Here is a 16,364-nt window from a genome sequence, read left to right on the forward strand (position 1 = left end):
ATCGCTAGCCAATGTCCTTTTTAGGTAGATGATAAAATAAAAACAAATAAATGCAGCAACAGCCCTCCCTATTGGTAGGACAAGCTAAATAAAAGCTGCTCACTCTGTGTCCTGGAAGCTAAATTCATCTTTTTTGAATAATTTAGTAACATGGGACCTTATTCAAAAGCAAAAGGACCTGGCCCATCATTTTCCATGTCATAGGCAGGAACCATCAGGTGACCAATTTCCCAGGTTGCATAAAGAACTAAGGTGGTATTACTCTTCAATATCCACTTCCCCCTATGTCAGGAATTAACTGATGAAAGAGGGAAACTAGGGGCACAGGGAACTATGAGGTTGTTCTATTGAACCATGTGTCTACTGACACGTAGCACCAGGTGGGATGGGTACAATCTTCATACTATAGGAAAATAATCAATAAGGAAAGAGAAGGCTCTACAAAATAGATGTTAAATTGGAGAGTATGAGCACCTCTCATTGCCCTCCATGAGAGACTTAATAGAAAAAAACAACATGATTAATTGCAAAGGCACTTCAGTTCTGTTACCAACTAGCCAAGCCACCTTAGACAAAGTACCTGAGTCTCATTCTTCGCATTAACAAATAGGGATGATGATTAACTCCCTTGAAAATTTACTGTGAGAATTAGAAACTACATACGTAAAGTACCTCAGGTAGTATTAGATAAATAGTCAGCACTTAATAACTGATAGCTAGAATCACTTTTGCTATTGTCAATTCTCACCCCAGCATAATGACAACTAGTATAAAAAAAGAACAAAAGAAAATCATGTTTCACTCACTCAAGAAGATTGTATTAATGGAGAAGGCAGGCAGTCAGTGAAATTGATGCCAATAAATACAGCTTTCTCTGCAATGAGGTTAATGTGAACACATCGGACAATAAATTAAAATAGAACATAAGGTCAAGAAGAAAGCATCTATTTCCTTTACCTTTTACTATTTGTTCTGGGAAATTGGTCTAGTTAAATATTGGCTTTAAAGGTTTGAACCTATTCTAAAGCATGCCTGATTAGGCATATCCCAGACAAATAATTGCCCTGGGAGTCTGGTCCCAATCTGAATGACCACTGGTTGGTCCATCAGATTGTGGGGTTTTAAACTCAACTAGATTCCAAAATATAGAGTATTTTTGAAAATAGTTGGCAATTTGATTTCTTAAAGTAAGGAATATATGAAGGTCAGCTTCATTCAAGTACAATATTTTTTAAACTAACATTTTTCAAGAGATTACTATGTGACTGGCTTACTACTTGCTTGAATTTGAGTGCATTATATCTTTCATTCCTCACAACACTTTGTAGCAAGAACTTCCATTACAATATTCTGTAGTAAGTACCCTCATTTTTGCATTTCATTACGCTCATTTTTTTCAATGAAAGAACTGAGGTACAGATTTTAAACTTTCCTAATATTACATGAACAGAAAGGGATGGTAGGACATTAACTGGAATCCAGGTCATTCTGATTTCAGGGACTGTCTTAGCTTATAGTGTGGAAAAACCAAAATGTTTTTGTGGACCATTTATAGAATAGAAAGGTTAAAGGGACTTAAAGAATGTTTAAAAGGGATATAATTATAAAATTAAAAATATTATAGATAGGGTCCAACAAATCCTATAGATAATAGATCGGGGTAGAGGAGAATCTCGAAGTATTACAAGAATAACATTAAATAGCATTAAAATAAACAAAGAAAAATTTATATAAACTCAAGTTAAATAGACCATGAACTTGATATAAAATAAATTTTTAACATTTATATCACTCTACCTACTATGTAGGAGGTACTATTAGTTTCTGAGTGAGGTACAAGGAATTAAAAATAATCTCTTCTCTGAAAAGCTTAAAAAGCAAAATTGGAAGTTAAAACGTATGTATTCCCCCAAACACATAACAAAATAAGGAGATAGATGCAATGTATTCAAAGATGTTTCTCTGCCAGGACATCAACTCCATGAAGGCAAGGACATTGGTTCTTGTATCATTAGTACCTAGAACAATGTTTGGCATTATGGTAAGTATTCAATGAATGTTTATTGAACAAAAGGATATGTGTATGTATGTATATATGCATGTGTAGGGGTGAAATTTCAGTAAAAATCAACTGACAAAAGGCATACTAATATGAGAAAAAGCATACAAATTTATTTAATCATAGTTTTGCATGACACTGAAACCTTCAGACTGAAGACCCAAAGATACAGGAGTCCATTTTTATGCTTAGATTCAACAAAGTATGGACAGCTCTGCAGCAATATGATTGGACAAAGGGTTATATCTATGGCTAACAAACTGGTAAAACCCACCAAGGCCTGTCTGTCTAGATTCTTCTTGTCCTCTCTGTGCAGCATTCTTTCTTTATGGTTATAGGTCATGACCCTCTCTGGAACTGTTGTGAGCTACAATCAAACACGGTAGGTCAGATAATTTCTTTATGGCCAGTTTTTACAAAGGAAGGCAGGGGAAAGCTAGAGTGATAGTTTTAGGTTTTATGGCTGGTTTGGGGGGAAAAGGGGTTCTTATTTCTACGACCTGCCTTGGGAAAAGAGATTCTATTTTCTAGGGCTAGCCTCAGGGATGAATGCAAGGCCAGAGATAGGAGGGCAGGAGAAGGTCAGAGAGAGCTACTTCTGAGGGCTCCATTTTGGGATATCATTTTCTAAGCTCCTGCACATGCATGCATGCACGCATATCAGTTAGTAAGTACCTGATGATTTCAATAGGTATACTCATCCAACCTGGGTCAGGGGAAAATCATGGTGGAAATGAGATTTTTTAAAGTGATATGGCCACACTATATGAAGCTGATAGTAACATTCTACAAAACGTCCAATAGTGTCACCATCTGTGATGGTCAATTTTATGTGTCAACTTGACTTGGCCATAGGATGCCTACATATTTGGTCAAACACTATTCTGGGTGTTTCTATGAGCACGTTTTTAGAAGAGATTAACATTTATTATCAGTAGATCAAGTAATGCAGATTGCCCTCCCTAATGTGGGTAGGCCTCATCCAATCAGTTGAAGGCCTACATAGGACAAACGCATTGATCCTCCTTCACATAAAGGAGAATTCTTCCTGCCTGAAAGCCTTTGAACTGGCTCATCAGCTTTTTTCCAGCCTTCAGAGTAGAACTGAAACATTGGCTCTTCCTGAGTCTTGAGCCTGCCAGCCTTTGGACTAGAAGTATACCACCAGCTTTCCTGGGTGTCTACCTTGCTGGATCACCCTGCAGATCTTGGGACTTACCAACCAACATAATCATGTGAGCCAATTCCTTATAATAAATCTCTCTCTTTATCCATACTCACATATACACATGCATGCACACATACATACACACACATACCCTATTGGTTCTGTTTCTCTGGAGTAGTCTAACATACCATCTATATACTGAATCTCGAATGGAGAAATGGTCTAAGCCAGAATGGTATTTATTATGTTCTCATGTTGTTTATTCAATCTTACTGACCTCTCTGATGCCCAGTGTCAAGGATTCTTGGGGTTCTCAATAAGTAATATTTGATGATAAAGATCAAAACAGTAATTATGCTGGAAATGGCTTATAAAAAAATTCTTAGCCTATATCCTTTCTCAGTTATCTCAACTTGGGTACTTAACTGAATTATGATTTATCAAGAAGCTTCATTCTCCTTTAAAAATAATCATCAATTATCCAAGAAAAATTCTATTTTCTTTTTTAAAAGGTCCATTTTCAAAACGCTCATAAAATATATAAGGAACAAATGAAAATCCTAATAGAAAATGGGCAAAGGTTATGAATAAGACATTCACAGAAGAAAACTGCAAAGAGCTGGCTAATAAAACAAAAACAATGCATAAACTCATTTGTAATTAAAGAAATGCAAATTAAAACCACGAAGAGATCCAATTTTTAACCTATTACACTGGCAAAAATTAAAAATTTCCATTATACCCAAATGTGGGGAAAGAAACATTCTCATCACTATTGGTGAGATGTTCTTTAAGATTAATACACAGCACAACCTAGCTAAGTTAAAAATGCAAATATCGTTTGACATAGCTATTCTTCTGTGAGGAATTGATCCTAAATAAAGATATGCTTCCAAAAGCATGTCAACAATAGACATGCATCAATGTTTGTATTAGCAAAAACCAAAACAATCTCCCAACCCCATACAGCCTAAATATTTACCAGAAAGCTAATAGTTAAATAAGTGATGGTACGCATATGTCATAAATACTAGACAATCATTAAAGAAAATGGATTACACTAAATTTGCTGATATGAAAATAGATCCAAGATATGAGTCAAACAAGGTATAGAATCATTTATGCAAAATTATTCCCTTTTATATTTTTAAAAGAATAAATATAAAGAAATATATATGTATGTGTGTGTGTGTGTATATATATATATATATATATACATCTATAATATCTATATTATAGATAAATAGAGACAGCCATGTAGCTCAATAGAGAGATGCATAAACATTGTTCCGGAAATATACACTGGAAGCTTATCAATGATTACTTTGGGGAAGGACTAGCTATTGATCAGCAAATAGAGCACCTAATATTTATAATTTCCTGTATAGTATTAATATGTAACTATGTGTGTAACTTGTTTTTAAATGCTAATTTTAAAATTTAGGCAGAGAAAATCTTACTCCCACCTGATTCTTTCAAGTAATGCTTAATAATTGAAGAAATTCCTTGAGGTGCCACAAAGTTACAGTCTCCTTCTTTCATCACCATTCCTTCAATAGGCGAGCTTAGAGGCCTCAAAACGCCATAGGCTAACAGTTCATCATAAAAACTGAAATAAATCAATATGTATATTTAATGTAATTATATACCATGAATAGCTCTAAAAGACTATATTTTCTTTCAATAATTCTCAGAGGTTATAATTCAAAATCAAAATTAGATATCTTCCTATGAATATTTTGTATTAAATAAAATGTATAATTTGTGTTAAATAAAACTTATAATACAGGTGAAGAAGAGAAATATTTTGAGAATCCATAGGTCGTTTGCTGACTTTAGTCAAAGGCCTATTTCTCTGTAAGCATATTTTAAAAGTAAAGTTAATGAAAACAAACAAATGTATTTAGTATATCAATTTTAAATTTGGTTCAGAAGATTGACTCCCATCACAGCTAGTTGCCTTCTTCCATAACACCAACATAGCAATTGATATTTATCGAGCCCTTACTATGTTCCATTTATCAGCTAATCTAATCTTCACAACAACCCTATGACATCACACAACTGCTAAGATTGATTCCACTCCTTGCAACTAACTCACCGTTGGTGTTTTTTGGCATAATGAGGAGTGCAGGTGATGTACTGAGCACCCAAGTCAGCTGTGCACTGAGGATTATGAGGACTGCAGGCTGTAGTCATTCTTCCCCCTTGAATTAATCCACAGGAAAATGTCTTACTGCATGACAATGAGCCTTAGCAATTAATTCAATGCACCTTAGGTTACCCCAAACAGATTACTTCAAAAATATCTTAAGAAACTTTTTTAAGTTGAAGTATTTGATCAGATTGTGAGATTTTAGAAGGAGTCATGAACAATGTAACAGTGTCCAGCACCATTATAGTGCATATATTTAGTAATAGGAGTCAGTGAATGGATAAAACTAAAAATGATGAAAGAAATGTCAGAATAAATGAGTCAACTAATGCTCTTTCATTCATACAGTCAATCTTCATGAGAATGACAGGATTCTGCAAACTAGATCTTCAGAAAATCTTGGTCTATGATCACTTTGGGAGTCTCATAATCTGCAGAAAGCTGCAAAGCCAACAGACAGACCAAGACAAAAAATCTATTTATTAGGGACAGCAGTAGGCCCAAGCTTTGCAAACTCGGGTCGGGGCCCCTCCCACGCCGCTGTCTCAGGTCTCCCTCTGTAGAGCGCGGGGTACTCCTGCCGGGCCCCCACCCTCGCCCCCACCCTCGCCCCTTCTTGGGCCTTTTCCCGGGCGGCGGAAGTCCCCGATCACGTGACGAGGCGCGCCACTCGGCGCATGGGCCGCGCTACACGGCCGCTCAGGGAGCTGAGGGTATAGCGTTTTCGCCTTAGACTTTCTTGGGTGCAGGCCCACACCACCTCAGCAGCCTGCCCGGCAGTCCTCTTTTCCCAGGTTTTGGCGTTTAGACAACCCACCTGAGTCCTCAGCCTTGTCCCACACAGCAAGGTACAAGGGACCGGACGTCTGCCTCCTCAGCAGCGCAGCGCACAAGCTTCCTGTCATCCCGGCGCCCACGATCAGCACCTGCGCCATGGCGAGAGGGAGCAGCGATCCGCGCTGAGTCTCTGCGGCGGGGCCGTTCGGCCCGGGCTTTCTGGAAAGGCGGCCGAACCGGCGCTAGCGCTCTTTGGTTCCGTGCTCCCTGGGCCGACCTGGGCCCTGAGCTTTCCTCCGGCCGGCCTGCAGGGGGCGGAAAGGAGGCGGCCGGAGCTGAGAGGCCCCTCCGTCCTTGAGGAGCAAACCTGGGGCTGCGGAGAACCGGGGCTGTCTGTCTTCTCGCTTTGGGGGCCGGGCGCCCTGCCCCTCGCCCAGAAAAGCCTGGAAATGGTGTGGGCTATTGTTGGGAGAACCCGCCTCGCAACAGAGCTGACGTTGACCACAGCAGAGAAGCAGCTTAACCTATCTACTGCGATAACTCTCATGCCTGTTGGGATTTTTGCTGTTTTACTATTCTAGATTTGAAAGTGGGAAGAAGAATTTACCAGCGATACCACGGGCAACCTTTCCTCTAATGCTTGAACGGCCACTATTAGCATAATAGAAACATCTTTTGGAATCTGGGAGACATTTTTCTTAGACCTGGGACTTTGTGTAACCTTCCTGAACCTCAATTTCTCCATCTGGGAAATGGAAACAATAACGTATACCTTTCAAACTTGTAAAGATTAAAGACAGTTGATTCATCAGAAAATTCCAAATTACTCTTCAATAAGTTCTATGTCAGAACGCATTCCGTATGTTCTAAGGAATATAAAGATGAACAACAAGAGAAGGATTGGTGCCATTGCCGTTGTTTTTTTCCCCCTCCTGACATTGTACTGGAAGTTCTCAATGAAACAACAAAGGCAATGGTAATACTGAACTATTAAAAAACAAATAATTAAGTTACGCTGACTTGCAGATAAATTATTACCTGGAAAACTAAGAAACCGAATAAGTATCAGAACCAATAAGAAAATTGACAATGGTAGCCAATTATAATGGAAACATTTAAAAATCAGAATATTTACTTCATGTCCACATCATGAAAAAAATTACCATGTATCAAATGGGTGACGAATTAATACTAGATATATCTAATAAAAGAACTAGAAGAAAATGTAGACGGGCATATATGACTAAGAAGACATTTTTAAGCATAAAAATGAAAGATGGAATTGAACAGAAAATACATAATCATTTACAACTTGTGTGTTACAAAATACACAAAACAAAATACAAATAGTAAATTTCTGAAAGGTGTATGAAAGATTAAAGTTAATATTATTTAAAAACATTATTCAAAGTCTTAAAGACACAAATGACAAAAGCCAAAAGGAAAATGTGTATATATTGGATAGAGTTCTTGAATAAAAAGAAATACGTAAGTCCAATAAGCATGTGTTTAATTTTTTATATTCAAATACAAATTAAAATGAGGTACTATTTTTCATTTGTTGAGTTTTTTGTTTTTTCTTTCTTGAGACAGGGTCTTGTGTCACTCAGGCAAGAGTGCAGTGGCACGATCAGGGCTCACTGCAGCCTTGACCTCTTAGGCTCAAGCTATTCTCCTGCCTCAGCCACCTGAGTAGCTGGGACTACAGGTGCCCACCGCCACGTGTGGCTCATTTTGTGGGTGTGTATACTTTATGTAGAGATAAGGTTTTGCCATGTTCCCCGGGTTAGGAATTACTTTTGTAAATGTAAAAATGTCTTTTTTTCAGGGATACAGCAAAATACACAATGGTATATTACTGATGGAAGTGTACTAGACAAATTTGTCATAATACAGTCTGATACTATGTCAAAAGCCTTAAAAATATGCCATTTAAAGCAGACATTTATCTTGGGGAAATAGTGTACAATTATACATTGAAGTTTATGATTTTTCTGAAATTAAAAGTTCAGATTTCTCTGAAATTAAAAGCTTAATGTGATTCACAGCCATAGCCCTAAAATCTCAAAATCGTCAATCTGGAAAGTACATTTGCAGTAATCTATTTCAACTGTCCTCTGCCACCATTTTATACACGTTAATACAGACACTAAGTTCAAGTGAGTTTGCCCAAGGTTACCTATCATCTCAACGGTGAAGCAAGGGCAGGCCTTCATGGTCTTCTGAGTCTGCTCTCCTGCTCTTTTCCATCCTTTCCAGCTTCCTCATTTCTATTAATAATTTGATCATCATGGACAATGAGACTTGAAACTTCATAATTATCTTCTATAGCTTCTTTTTTCTCATCCTTGATACCTATCAGCCCTCAGGTCTTTTTGACCGTTTCTCCATTGTCTCTTGAATCATCCAGTCACATCAGATTGTACAACAGAAAAGTTGCTCAAATTCCATTTCCACCAGCAATGGTAGAAAACAGTGAACAGAATATGGTAAGGTCGGAACTTTCTCTTCACTGCACTCTGCCCACTGTGAACGTTTAACATTTCAAAGAGTAATTGCCAAAAAACGAATTCACTACTTGAGTTCAAGCCATTAGGTTTTTTTTTTTAAGCCAGTCAAATTTAGCAGTGGAGGGTTGTGTATCAACTTTAGTGACACTAATGTTAATAAATTCTGATAACCCACTATCATCACACCAGTTCAGGCCATCAGTTCTTACTGGGATTATTACCGTAGCTTTCTAACTAGTCTTCCTACTTCCCAGTTCTGCACCCAGCTTCTAGATGTCATTACTATCCTCAAAAACTTTCTGTAGCTCTCAGTTTCATACAGAATTAAGTTCCATTCATTCATTTGGCATAAAAATGTTCAATAATATATTATCATCCTACAGTTATCACTTACATTTGTGTCTTCATTTGTTCTGTGCTTTCGCTAAACTGAATATCTTTCTTTTCCTTGAACACATCCTCAGATTTTCCACTTATCTATGGCAGAAGAAAACCTTTACTTACGCTGTTCTCTGTGTATACAGCATCGTTTTTGCTTGCATCTCCTGCAGTTGTGAATCCGCATTTATCTTTGTCTTTTTTCTTTCTCCCTATGATCATACGCTCTTTCAAAAACAGTTATCCAGAATTTTGGATTGCTATGGTCATCGAATGGAAATAGCCATAGTGGTTTGCAATTTCTCATTACGCCCCAACCTCCATGGGTTACATCTGATTTCACAGTTAATAGCATAATGGGTCCTTGGTTGACTACTTGGCAGTAGTGCAGCTTTCTGGAAAGGTAAGAATGACTAGATGACCTAGAATGACTAGATCACCTAGGATTGCAAGATAGGTGAGACAGCCCCCATGTCTAATATTTATTTTTTCCTAATCACCTTGACCTTTTCCCTTGACTTTTTTCCTATTCTTGATCTTTTCAAGGCTGACTCCTTGAATGACTTCATTCAAATCAGCTTAAAAGCCACCTAAAAGAGGTCTTCTCTAACCACTTGACCTAAAATAGCCACCCAGTGACTCCCTAGTCCATTAAATGATGGAAAAATGAATGCTTTATTTTCTTCATCTCAATCCCTTTTAGAAGTAATCTCACTTTTTTACCTGTTTACTTATTTATTATTTATTGTTTATCCTACTAGAATTTAAGCACCAAGAGGGTAGAAATTTTGTCATGTTCAACGCAGTTTCCCTGGCAACTAGAATCAAAGTTAGAATTCTCAGAGACTATGAGGGTTCACTATCTGTTTGCTGGAAGATATACAAGACTTTTGAGGATAATACTTAAATGAAGATAGACCGGATGGTAATTCAGTTGGATAATGATCAGTGACGTTGAACTTCTTTTCATGTGTTCATTGGCCGTGTAAATGTCTTCTTTTGAGACCTAACAATACTTTTAAGACTGTTGCTTCTATATTTGAACTCCTTTAAGTCATTATAGACTGCATAGTCACTACTTGTTGCTGTTATTACAATAACTGCCAGACAGAAAAATAAATCTACTTCAGACTTTTAAGGAAGTTTCATATCTTAATACTTTTAATTGCTTTTTAATGGACACTAGCGGGAAACTATCACTAACAACCTCTGTAGTGGTTTTCTCATTTTCGTCAAGATGTGAATGTATTTGGATTAACGTATGGGAAAGGGGCTTGAAAAAAATAGGAAGCTGAATTTAATATTGCCTTGAGCTAAATGTTCTCTTTTTATTTTTTCTTTTTAGTATAATATGCTTTTTCTTAGCTTTCCTATGACTCTACTTAGCAACTTTTGCTAAAAGAAACACAATATATGACTGACTACTTTGAAGACACATATATTGGACACTTAAAATCAACAAAAGCAGAGAGGTATGATATAATACTTTTCATTGTTGTGTGTTGTACCTAGAGTCAAACTAATCATTTTAATGGCAGAAGCTAAAGAAACATAATTCTCAAGTCATCTTTTAGGAAATTATATTGTAGTTGTGGATTAATGTTATTAATATTACAGATATTTGATATCTTCATATTTTGTTTAAGTACTTTTGCTAAATGGGTGATAGCTTTTAAAAATCATTATTTAAAATTCTGGCAACCTCCAGTTTTAGTGCTGTGGTACAAAACTACACTTTTTACTCACTTTCATCTTTGGCTGCCTTATGAAAGTTTGCCTCTTAGCAGAGCAAACACCAGTGATTTGCTCCATGGAATAGTATCTCACCAGGCAACCAGCATGGATGGAAAATTATGGCAAGTAACTCAAATTGAAGTAATAATGATTACCTGCTCCATTAGGTACAAGGTTTACAGGCCAAGGTAATATTTTAATCTAGTAGTAGTGATTACTTCTATGATATCTTGCATGAACTTAATAAATAGCAAACGATTTTATCCAAATTATTATTTCAACATGTATTAGAAAAATTATTGATGAGATATTTTACATTATCTTTTTTTGTAAACCTTCAAAATCCAGAGTTTATTTTACATGTATAAAAGATCTTAATTCTGGAGCTAAATTTGTATTAGACACACTTGAGGTGTTTTTAGAGTTCATAAAATTTACACCTACAAGAGTAGTTTCACATACCTAAATTGTTTGAAACATATTTAAAAGTTTCAGTAACTGAATTGACTATAAATAAACAATTTTCTCTTATATTTGCATCTACTATGACAAAATTATTTATCTTTTTTAGAAAAATTGATTAGACTTTGAAGTAAAAACATATCAACTTAAAAACTCTATCTCTCCAAGTTAAGTATATTTAAATAGCTCATGTCAACTTAAAATTATTAATATCAAATTCAAGTTTGAGTTGCAAAGCAACTCTAAATTTATTAATATCAACTATTTTTCTTGTAGTTTTGTAGCCAATTTATATAAATGCTGTTGTTTAGAATTAAAATCTGCATATTGATTCATGTTAGAAAAATGTGTAAATCATTATTATTGAATTGCATTATGGAAAGTTTTCATTTCAACATAAAGTCTAGTAGCAGTTTATTAAGGTAATAAATGAGCTTTTCCATTCAGCATGATATGGATGAAAAAACACGTCATCCTGCCATTTTCTTGTTTTCAGTTATGGGATATTTGACAAGTATTGCTTTTGTTTCAAGACAGTCTTGAATTTGGATTAACAATACAGAAAATCTTATAAAAATTTAAAGTTGTGTTTAACAGAAAAATATTTTACACTGCTTTAGCTTTCATATTAAAATTAATTTAACTAAAATAAAATATTCAGTTTCTCACTGGCCACATTTCAAGTGCTCAATGGCCACATTCTAGACTTTAGTGAACTTTTTCACTAGTTGCTTTGTATGGTTGATGAGTCACTGCAAATAATAAGGTTAATTTCATTCAGTTTAAACATTTCCCATTGGTGGTTATTAGGAGTACCACAACTATATATCAAAGGCTTATCCCTCTGTGTTTTCTTTGTATAAAAATATTAAAATTTGGGTAAATATTTGAGGCTATAAATTGGGCAGTCAAAACCTACATGCCTGGAACAGTCCAGATTATGCCTATTTTCCCAAGAAAATTATTAATAGAATTTTATTTTAAAAGGTATCTTGTTTCAGATGATAGTCTATACATTCCTTCTAGATATAATGCAAAGCATCTTAAAACCTCAGCTAGGAAGCAAGCAGTGTGTAGTAAGCTACAATATCAGTTAATACATTGTACAGACAGAGAAAATATTTCTTCCCAAGCTATTTCCATGTACTTATCTGAGACAGCCCATGAGGAGAGAGAACTGAGTAGACTTGCTGCCTGCTGAGCACTTTTCCAAGAATACAACCAAAGAGGAATATCTAAATGTGATTCCAAATGTTATAAAGTTTTTCCATGTGCAGTTAAATTAGCAGCTCTTGCTCTTCTCTTTGGTAGAAGATATTGATAATGCTGTTTTAAACTTTGCTGTTGCCTTCAATGAAAACCACAGATATTATACCAAATATAAATACCTGGACCAAAGGAAAGAAGTGCAGCTTCTGTAAATTAAAGTTTTCAGTTAGAAAGTGTTTTTTTAAAAATGAATGCACTTTAAAACTTTCAGATTTACATAATTTTTTTCAAGCGGTCAGTGCACAGGAAACTGGACTAATAAATATGTAAGAAAGACATATCAAGTATGTGCATGTAAATTATCTCCCTAAATTGCTTGTAATTTGTTCTCTTGCATAAGGAGGATTGTTACATATTAATGTCAGCTCTATGACAGATATTACACTAATACATCATATTACATTGATCAGATTTAAGTTTTATAACAATCCTGAGAAGTAGGTATTAGTTGCATTTTGTAGGCAGGGAAACTGATGATCACAGAGGTTAAGTAATCTGCTTTAAGTCACCTAGCTAATGAGTGGTGGAGCTAGGGGTTTTATAATCCTTGAATCATGTCCTTCTGAGTATAGTGGTTGGCTTATTATACAAGGCTCATAAGATTAGTAAGTCATGCTTTTGGGGGGAGAATCTGGATGGCAGCCTCTGTGGGTACCTGGTTTATTGTTTTAAGAAAAAACTTAAGAGTTCTGCCTTCCTAGAATTTAGGAGACTCAAAAATCACCTATCTGTAAAAAAAGTAAAATGAGTTGCTGAATGAAAGTTATCCAAGCTTCCAAATCTCCCCGTTCTTTCCCCTCCCCGCTAAAAAAACAATTAAATATATGTTAAATAAATGTTAGGCTGGTAATAATACTATTACAGCATTAATTCACACATCAATTAATTTGTAATACATGATAAAGCTCTCAGAATTGGACTGTGCAATACTACAATGGAGACTTCTAAGAGGGAATTTATCTACAAAATAGGGTAGCCAGAAAAGCATGGACTTTGAAATTAAGCAGTCCTGAATCTGAATTCTGACTGCCAGTTATACATTTTATGGTTTTAGCCAAGTTATTTAATTCTTCAAAGCCTCTGTTTTCTTACCTGAAAACAGTAATATTTCCTACCTCATAGAATTATTGGCTGCAGTTTTATAAATGGTATTATTTGCTGCAATTTTAACTGTATAAACATCTCCCTTTTATATATAGGTCCCAAACGTGGTATCTTTTCACAATGATGTATTTTATCCGAATTCTTGGAATTACTCATGGTGTCTTTCAAAATTAAAGATCTGTGAAACCTGAAGCAGATATGAATATTGTAAGTTGTTAGAAAATAAATCTGGACTGCTGAAATAACAGAGAATGCTACTTTTCAAATTTGGAATTTTAACTTAATAGATTTACAGTCAAACGTATACATCTATATGTTAATATTTCTCATCTGCTATTCTATAGCTTAGTTTCTCCTTCAGCCTTATTCTATCTTTGTAATGAAAAATGTGTAACTATATTCATACTTTCACATATTTGAAATATATATTCATATATATGAAGGTATGAATATATATCTCCTTCTCTTCTACATATTTATAAATATACAAATTTCAGATATAAGATTAGATATACACATAGACATGCAAACATTTATGGATGCATGTATATTTTTAAATTGTATACGAGTGGGTAGGTAAAAGTATGAGAGACTAGTAGTTAAAAAAGAAAATATTCTTGAGATATCTCTTTGAGGGTAGGGGTTTGTTTGTTTGTTTATTTATTTTATTCTTTCAATCCCTAGTATATAAAACTGCTGCTCAGTAGGTATTTTACAAATATTTATTATCTGTATGAATCAGTAAATTAGTGAAAATAAAAATAGATAGGCTTGAGGTTGAGAGAGAATACCAAGGTTCATTGTCACATAATGCGTTAGAAATGGCAAACCATTCAACTTAATTGGATAACAATTTTATGCTAAAAGATTTGCTTTTTCTTTATCTAGAGCCAGATTATTTCCTACTGGGGCTACCCTGATGAAGAATATGATATTGTAACCGAAGATGGTTATATCCTTGGCCTTTATAGAATTCCTTATTGGAGGACAGACAATAATAAAAATCTAGGTAATATTCAATTGAAGATGGATTGGTGACAATCTGGGGCCTGAAGTTCTTAATTGCTCCAATTGACGGAGAACATAGGACAAGAAAAGCATCTTAAGATTAAGTGAATAGTTAACTTCCCATGTATCTTCTCGCATGCTACAAGAAGAGTCACACAAGAAGATACACCGGCCTTCTGGTCACAGAGAGGTTGTGATGGAACACAAGCTGTTCTTCCCAGGTTTCCTTTGTGGATCACTTTGCTCTTACATGTTGATTCTCTAGAATTTTCTTTTTCTGATGAGAAATTAGAAATGCTCTGAAACACAATAACATTATTATGCTCTAGGTTTTGAAGAAAGGCTGGTACAAATTTCCTTTTTTGTCTTTCTGATTCTCTCCTCTAGAAATAGCAGAGAGATGAGGTTAGTAGCAGCCTCAGGGCTCTTTATTCCAACAGTAAGTATCATCAGAGTGTGGTGCAAAATGCACTGGAATTTGTTAGGAGATCTGGGTTGTAATCCTAGATCTGCCACTTACTAGTAGAATATGTAATGGATTACTTTTTCTTATTCATATAATTACCCAAATAAAAGCCAAGTATTTTCTCCTTAGCTTTTCTTCCTGAAAGAATGTTTCTTTCAGAAGGAAACAGGATGTGAAACAAATAGAATGTTTCTTATATTATAGGGCATCCTCTCAAGTTATTTTGAACATTAAAGTACACTTCAGAGAGGATATTAATTTGAAACAACCTCAATTAACATAATTTTGCATATTTATAAAGGTTATACCCAGTAGCAGAAAATCTTAACATAGATTTTATATAATAATAGTAATTATCCCCCAAGCTATGACCTCATTTTACAAGTACTGTATTAAAGATTTAAAGATAATTTTAAAACACAGCAAGTGCCTTAGAGTGCTCTAAAGGCAGAGCCTGAGAGAGGGGTTCAGGTACATGTGACTGATTGATGAAATACTGTCAGGAGGCAGTAACGTGGAAATTAGGATAAAGTAGGGTAAAGAGTTAAGGAATAATATAATATGACTCAGCTTGGGGCTAGCTAAAAGATGATCTCAGAGGAGTTCAAGGTTCCCATAAAAATTACACTACAGAGGTGGTCCCACCCTGAGATTAGAGAGCCAGCTTTTTGCATTCCTAAATCAGTTAATCATTGCCTGAAGGCTACCCCTAGAAGGAGGTGTGATCTCTTAGGTGAGGCAGTTCCAATTTGGCCATGGGCAATTCTACAGAGAAAGGAGCAATAGTAAACCCTTAAAAAGCAACACTAGGGCCATAACTAGTATTCATAAATGTCCTCCTCCACTATCCATTCTAGATTTCTTTACCTCTCAGCTAGCCTGCCTGATGAGCAATAGTAAACCCTTAAAAAGCAACCTAAGGCCATAACTAGTACTCATAAATGTCCTCCTCCACCATCTATTCTAGCTTTCTCTACCTCTCAGCTAGCCTGCCTGATAGGGTAAGCCAGACCTTCATCCCTAGGGGCTAACATATTCATATCAGGTGATGGTTGCACTTGTTCATGTACAGTTAAAACAGGGCATAGAAGTAGGAAAAGATGACTCAGTGGATCTCCTGAAGAGCAAATGTATTTCTCCCTTTCCTCGTTTTGTAGCAGCAGACCTACTTCCTTATGATGATCAGGGTCAATGAACTTCCTGGTCTTCAGTAATGAAGAGCCCAAAGTGACCAGGCGGTGGTCATAGCCTTGTTTGTTAGGATGCTTACAGTG

At 35.6% G+C, this 16,364-nt stretch overlaps 2 protein-coding genes across 23 annotated transcripts in view, besides 1 other annotated feature; one reads left to right on the top strand and one right to left on the bottom strand.

Moving 5' to 3' along the window:
* The window catches only part of RNLS (renalase, FAD dependent amine oxidase), a 411,796-nt gene extending 405,351 nt beyond the window's left edge, over nt 1–6,445 (bottom strand). For 10 of the 14 annotated variants that reach the window (XR_001747122.3, XM_011539924.4, XM_017016380.3 and 7 more), the window contains exons 1-3: nt 6,200–6,445; nt 5,329–5,434; nt 4,694–4,836 (exon numbers count right to left, since the gene is read on the bottom strand). Coding sequence is in view for 13 of the 14 variants with exons in the window: in XM_011539924.4 (XP_011538226.1) it covers nt 4,694–4,836; nt 5,329–5,434; nt 6,200–6,317 (367 nt within the window). In the remaining variant the exon portion in view is untranslated. The remainder of the gene's footprint in view (nt 1–4,693; nt 4,837–5,328; nt 5,435–6,199) is intronic. The other 4 variants (XM_017016382.3, XM_017016384.3, XM_005269948.4 and 1 more) reach the window with 1 other exon arrangement.
* Nucleotides 5,996–6,245: an enhancer, noted in NCBI's record as "active region_3723". NCBI's record gives its function as "activates an Ori minimal core promoter by ATAC-STARR-seq in GM12878 lymphoblastoid cells {active_cell/tissue: GM12878}" and the evidence as "EXISTENCE:reporter gene assay evidence [ECO:0000049][PMID:35858748]".
* LIPJ (lipase family member J) overlaps nt 6,034–16,364 on the top strand; it is a 40,278-nt gene continuing 29,947 nt past the window's right edge. For 4 of the 9 annotated variants that reach the window (XM_047424642.1, XM_047424643.1, NM_001010939.3 and 1 more), the window contains exons 1-4: nt 9,889–9,972; nt 10,393–10,519; nt 13,712–13,823; nt 14,505–14,625. In XM_047424642.1, the coding sequence (XP_047280598.1) occupies nt 13,815–13,823; nt 14,505–14,625 (130 nt within the window). In that variant the 5' untranslated portion in view covers nt 9,889–9,972; nt 10,393–10,519; nt 13,712–13,814. Of the gene's footprint in view, nt 7,136–9,888; nt 10,033–10,392; nt 10,520–13,711; nt 13,824–14,504; nt 14,626–16,364 lie in introns of those variants that run through there. The other 5 variants (NR_172141.1, XM_006717635.4, XM_005269542.3 and 2 more) reach the window with 3 other exon arrangements.

Source organism: Homo sapiens, chromosome 10 (assembly GCF_000001405.40).
Source record: "Homo sapiens chromosome 10, GRCh38.p14 Primary Assembly".
Classification (NCBI taxonomy): domain Eukaryota; kingdom Metazoa; phylum Chordata; class Mammalia; order Primates; family Hominidae; genus Homo; species Homo sapiens.